The sequence below is a fragment of the Homo sapiens genome, chromosome 16 (genome assembly GCF_000001405.40).
Source record: "Homo sapiens chromosome 16, GRCh38.p14 Primary Assembly".
In the NCBI taxonomy this organism is placed as follows: Eukaryota; Metazoa; Chordata; class Mammalia; order Primates; family Hominidae; genus Homo; species Homo sapiens.
In genome coordinates this window covers 76,999,014-77,006,133 of record NC_000016.10, presented here as the reverse complement: position 1 = coordinate 77,006,133, position 7,120 = coordinate 76,999,014, and positions in this window count along the sequence as shown.

Genomic DNA, 7,120 nt, shown 5'->3' with positions numbered 1-7,120 from the left:
CTATGACAGGGCAGAGGGAAGAGACCACTGCGACTCCCAGATTTCTGGGTTGGCCATTCTAGTGGATGGAGGTATCCTACACCAAGGCAGAAAACAGGAAGAGCGGGAAAGACTTGCAGGCTACGAGAGCATGCTATTGTACTGAGTCTGCATTGTGGGTGCCTGTAGCCAAGTTGGTTTGGAATCTCTAGAGAGTGATTTGGGTTTGTGCTACAGAATATGGAGTAGTCAGTAAATTGGTAAGTCTTAATACTGCTAATACGACGAAATACGTTATTGTTACATTTACACATTGTTTTTAAAAATATTTTCTGTGGCAACGAGTGAACTACAAGTTAGCAGATTCAGTGTCCTAACTTGGCCCCCAAGCTTCATAAACTTTCAATGAAGAACTGTGGATTTTCATTTACTTTCATGGTAGGTGATTTATCTTAGAAATATCTTAAAAGGAGCCAATAATTTGCTGTATTGATAGATTCATTAAACAGAATGAAACAACTGGACTTTTTAATATATACTTTTTTAGTTAAAATTATTATCTTCTAATGATCAAGATTATGGGAGAATTGAAAAGATAGATTACATGTATGTTCTTTTCATTGTACAGGAAAGGGGGCACTATATGATGCCTTAGGGTGTTGAGTATATTTTAAGGATATTTTAAAAGTATTAGTAGTAAAGGTAAAAATTGAAATTAGAATTTGTAAACTCAGAGAAGAAGCCAATGTATGTGGAGTTTCTCAATGCAAGCCCAAGCATTTGTATTTAACAGTAATTCAGTGATTACAACACATTCATCACAAATTGAGTTTCTGTTAATAGTTTAGGTGGGGAACAATGCTAGTGGGCTTTTTTTTTTTTTTTTTTTTGCTAATCTTGCTTGTACTTATGAATCCTTTATTCTGGTTGATTCTCTGCTCTGGGTTATTATGTAACAAGTCATTTTTTTGCTCTTATGGTTTAAAATAAACAAATATATATATACATATATACATATATATATATATATATTTTGAGAGGGAGTCTCGCTCTGTCGCCTAGGCTGGAGTGCAATGGCGCGATCTCGGCTTACTGCAAGCTCCACCTCCTGGGTTCACGCCATTCTCCTGCCTCAGCCTCCCGAGTAGCTGGGACTACAGGCGCCCGCCACCACACCCGGATAATTTTTTGTATTTTTGGTAGAGACGGGGTTTCACCATGTTAGCCAGGATGGTCTCGATCTCCTGACCTAGTGATCCGCCCGCCTCGGCCTCCAGAAGTGCTGGGATTACAGGCGTGAGCCACCACGCCCAGCCGGTTTAGATAAATATTGATATACCTTTTAAAAAGTTGAAATGAAGATGATAAGTCATAGAAGTACAACTGTAAACACCAAAACTTTCAAAAATGTAAAGGGTTTAGAAAGTACGATTTCACCGGTTTCTCTGCCACAAACATTGGCTATACACACACACACACACACACACACACACACACACACATACACACACACGAATTATGCTTAGATCTTCCTTTTACTTTATTGATGCGTAATTGTACATATTTCTGGGCTACATATATTTCATTACATGTATGGAACATGTGATGATCAAGTCAGTGTATTTAAGGGGTACTATTTTTATTGATTTATATTGCTGTTAAATTTTAAACCTTATTTATCTTGCATGAAGATGCAGAAAATTTTGATCACAATGTTGCAAAAGCATAATGTATTTCTAGTCACGACTGTATTTTATTGTAAAGTCCTATTCAACTTTTGCTTTTTTAGAAGAGCCATTTTCTCAGATGTTCCTTCTTTATGTTATATGTCAGCAAGTCATATAAAAATCATTACCAAACTGTTGTTGCATAATTCTCTAGTCCTGGAATACTTTTGCGTTCAGGACAAAATAATAGGAATTAAGAGGAGAAAAAAAATCTTGATCTGCAATCAGAAAGATTGTTAATTTCCTTCCTAAGTGACCAATTGATTTGAACCAGCCATTCAAAACTTGGGTCTTTAAAAAGAAAACCATTTTAAAAAGAACAAACTATGATTGATTGCGCATTGATATAAACATGCACATGGGGCTAGTTCTTCAGTCCAGAGATGGAAATATTCCTGTTGGAATCACAGAAAAAGAGATGCATTTAAAGGGAGCCTAAGGCAGTGGAAGCAAGAGAATTGAGGGCTGGGAAAACAGCTTGAATTGCATTATTTGAATGTTATTAGAAGTGTATGTGTCTGTGATGCAGTTTTAGTAGTTTATCTTAAGGCAAGGTGGCCTGTAAAATGCAAGATAAAATCAGCAGAAGCCAGTGGTATAACCTTGGACTTCCACTTAGACCACAACGTGGACTTGAGAAGCGTGCATGCATTCCTGGGTTTTCCAGAAACAGAGTTAGACATTATTGATTAGGAAGAGCACAGGCCTGACTCAAGAGACAGATTCTAGCTTCAGTCTTGTCAAAGAGCTGGCTGGACTTGGGCCCATCACTTCACCTCTCTGGACTTTATTTCCCTCAGGGGTGATTGTCCACATGTTCTCCAAGGAACCTCCAATTCTAACACCCTGAGACTAGTTGTAGGCTGACGTGTTGCTGTGAGGAAAGGATTCGTCAAAGTGTTTAAACAAAATCATGAGAGGACAGGACATGAAGTAAAAAACAAAAATCATTAAGTGCTCTTAAATCATGTCCTCAAGGTCATCTGCAAACACTGTGCATTCATTTATTCACCAACAGATATTTATTGGGCAATGAGCATGGCCCAAGCCTATGTTGGGTGCTGGGGCTAGTGGAGTGAAGGGAGTATCTATCTGTCTGCCCTTACAGAGCTTATGCATAGGTGAGCAGTTATTACGGTAAAGGCTTGTTGCGAAAAAGCTTAAGGTGCTGTCAGTGTTAGGCAGGGGCATCTAAACTGAGAGTAAAAGGAGGTGTTATAAGAACGAGATTGTGTTCTTTGCAGGAACATGCATGGAGCTGGAGGCCATTATCTTTAGCACGCTAACACAGGAATAGAAAACCAAATACCTCACTTATAAGTTGGAACTAAATGATGACAACACATGGACACGTAAAGGGGAAAAACAGACACTGGGACCTATCTGGGGGCGGAGGCTGGGAGGAGGGAGAGGATCAAGAAAAATAAATAATCGTTACTAGGCTTACCTGGGTGATGAGATAATCTGTACATCAACCCTTCATGACAGAAGTTTACCAATATAACAAACCTGCACATGTACTGCTGAATTTAAAATAAAAGTTAAATTTAAGAAAAAGAGGAAGTGTTACTCAGTGGGGTGGCAGTGGTGATGATGGCTGGGGTGTAGGCAAAGGGAATGGCTGTGCGAAGGGAAGACACCACGATGAGGTCCAGGGACACAAAGACCTTCAGCTCAGTTGGGAGGGGTACAGTGAGAGATGAGAGAAGAAAAGTAAACCCAGCAGACTGCCTAAAACCTGGGTGTTTGTCTGCCTCTCAGCAGGTGGATGGGGCTAGGCAGGGGCAGGTGTGTGGGTCAGGGAACTCAGCTCTATGTCTGCTTCTTGCTCTTGGCTCGTCAGGCACTCTATACCTCTCTAGCCTCATCCCTGTCCCCTCCTACTAGGAAAGGGGACACCTTCCCACCCTTGAGGGGTTTGGGGTGAGGATGAGCAGCTGTTAACACAGGAAGGTGGAAGGGATAGAATCCAGGAATGGGTGTGTTCTCTGTATCCTTGAACTGTGTCTTTCAGGCTTGCAGCTCCTGGGGTGGAGCTCTCTAGCTCAGTTCTACCCAAAGTTAGGACCATACCTGGGTCTCAGGAAGAGGACAAGTGAATGAGCCGTACCTTACGAGACCTCACCTTTTTAAATTTTACAAATGAGCACCTGGAAAGATGCCTGAGATTTGCATATGAGGAGGTACTAAGGGGAAGCCAGAAAGATAACTTGAAGCTTTGGGTTGAATTGTGTCTCCTCTCCGAAATTTATATGAAGTCTTGACCTCCAATACCTCAGAATGAGACCTTATTTAGAAATTAGGATCATTGCAGATACAATGATTTAATATGGCGTGATATGGGAACAGGGTGGCTCCTAATCCAATATGACTGGTGTTCTACTGGTGTTCTACAAAGGGGAAATCTGGGGCAGATACGCACACAGGGAGAATGCCATAAGAAGTTTAAGGTAGGGTTAAAGGTAGGGATGGGGCAATACTGCTACAAGCTAAGGAATGCCAAAGATTGCCAGTAAACCATCAGAAAACTAGGGAAGAGGCGTGGAACAGATTATTCCTCATAGACCCCAGAAGAAACTGATCTCGCCAGTGCCTTGATCTTGGACTCTTGGCCTCCAGAACTGCGAAAAATAATTTCTGCTATTTAAGCCACTCAGTTTGTGGTACTTTGTTACAGCAGCCTTTGTACGCTAATACAGTATGGCAATTGAAAGAATTTACAGTTTATGTGTTTTGTGGGGTTATTTCTTGTCAAACTGCTTAAATTTATAATAAAAATGTAGCTATATGCCTCTAATGAGGTCACTGAAGCCTCATGGTTGTTTAGCTATTAATATGAGATGGGTTATTAATTTAAATTCTGATTTGAGACTAGCACTTGTATTGATAGGATCGACTTGCACAGAACTGTTAAATGTGAAATTAATGTCAGCATATTTTTTTGAGCTTGAAAATAGTGATATCAGGGCTATTTCTTTTGTGCAATTTAGAATTATTACTAAATACATGTAGATATGCCTGTTTATCCCTAGAGGAAGATACACAGAAGCATTGAAGAATGTTATTACCTACAAGTGACTTTGTTGATGTTTTATTATTAAGTCTTTGGGAGTTGGACATAACGGCATTAAAAATCAGCAGAATGGAAATTAAGTTTTTTATTTTATTTCTGACTCATTAGTGACCCAAGGGCACCCACTAAATTAAAAGTTATATTCAGTTTCTCCACATGCAAGCTAAAGATGAAAAATTACGTTATTTTATTCTCTTGATTTTGTTGAGAAGATTAGGGATAAGCCATTTTTTTCTTAAATACAAAGTACATTTGTGTATACAGCACAATTCAAAGACAACATTTAAATATGTTCTGGTAGATGCCCAAAGGAGTAAATCTTGCCTGTTTAATTATGCGATAAATATTATGACTGTTTATACCTAGGGAAGTGAACATAATTATGCACTGGATTTTGTTATATTATAAAAAAAAGCCTCAGTGCATGTGCTTTGTGTTTAAGAAGATATGTGTGATAATGACATATTTCAAACAAGTTAGAGTCATCATCCTTGAAATCATGAATGTAGAGGTCTATTTGTCAGAGTTCTCCAGAGAAATAGAACCAGTAGGAAGTATAATGATATGCAGAAAGAGATTCATTATGAGTGATTGGCTCAGGTGACTGTGGAGGCTGAGAAGTTCCATGATCTGCCATCTGCAAGCAGCAGGTCCTCGAAAGCTGATGGTATAGTTCCAGTCCAAGCGTGAGGGCCTGAGAACCAGGAACACTGACTCCAAGGGCAAGAGAAAATGAATCTTCCAGCTCAAGTGGAGAGCAAATTCACCCAATTCTGCACTTTTGCAAAATGCACTGGGATGATACCTACTGACATTGGTGAGAGTGATCTTCTTCACTTTACTGATTCAAAAGCTCATCTGTCCCAGAAGCACCCTCATAGATACACCCAGAAAAAATGTTTTACCAGGTATCTGGGCATCCCTTAGCCCAGTCAAGTTGACACTTAAAATTAACCATCACAACAGATGTATTTACTTACAAGATTTTATTTTAGCTTTTAAATCAAATCCATTAAAACCGAATTTAAGCAAAAGAAACTAGCCAAAAAGTATACAATCCTATGAGCTTCTAAAATGATATATCTGTATAGCCAGCACTATAAGCAAGATACAGAATATTTCCATCACCCAAAAAAGTTCCCTTTTATACCTTTAAAACTTCCAGCCCCAGACAATCATTGACCTACTTTCTGTTACTATAGTTAATGTTGCCTGTTCTAGAATTTCATGTAAGTGGAACCATACAGTATGTGCTATTTGGTGTCCAGCTTCTTGCAGGCAGCGTATAGTTTGAGATTCATCCATCGCATATATGAGTAGTTCCCTTTTTTTGCTGATCGGTATTCTATTCTATGGTTATGCAACGTTTGTTTATCATTTCACATTTTGACAGACATTTGTTTCTAGTTTTTTGGCTTGTAAGTATAAAGATGATATAAACATTGTTGTATAAGCATTTTATGTTTTCATTTTTCTTGGATAAAGACCTATGAGTGGAATTTCTTCAGCACGTTATTTTAAATATACTTCCTTACCTAGTTAGATTCAAATAAATCTCTGAACATTACTCATGGTATGCTTCCTCACAGTATCATAAAATGTATTATTTTTTGAGGGAGGTTTATTTTAGAAATGCTTTTTAAAATGCAGACTACAAACATTTTGTGAAAATTCCAAATGTAAGTGGTATAATTTGAGCAAAGTAAAGAAGGCTAGAAGAACATTTTGTGGATTTGTGTACTTTTTAGTGAAAAGAGTGTAGCTTTTACTGGATTTTCAGAAAACAGAGGTGGTCAGGACCCAGCGTAGGGTAAGGATGCTGCTTTAGTGTCTCCAGTTTTTATTTCTGGATTAAGGAAGGCCATCTAAATTTTATTTTTATTTATTTAATTTTTGAGATGGAGTCTTGCTCTGTCACCAGGCTGGAGAGCACTGGCGCAATCTCAGCTCACTGCAACCTCCGCCTCCTGGGTTCAAGCGATTCTCCTGCCTCACCCTCCCAAGTAGCTGGGATTACAGGCACACACCACCACACCCAGCTAATTTTTTGTATTTTAGTAGAGATGGGGTTTCACCATGTTGGCCAAGATGGTCTCGATCTCCTGACCTCATGATCCACCCGCCTCAGCCTCCCAAAGTGCTGGGATTACAGGCCTGAGCCACCATGCCTGGCCAATTTTTTTTTTTTTTTTTTTTTTTTTCTTGAGACACAGTTTCACTCTGTTACCCAGATTGGAGTGCAGTGGCGCATCTTGGCTCACTGCAACTTCTGCCTTCCTGGTTCAAGCAATTCTTGTGTCTCAGCCTCCCAAGTAGCTGTGATTACAGGCACAGGCCACCA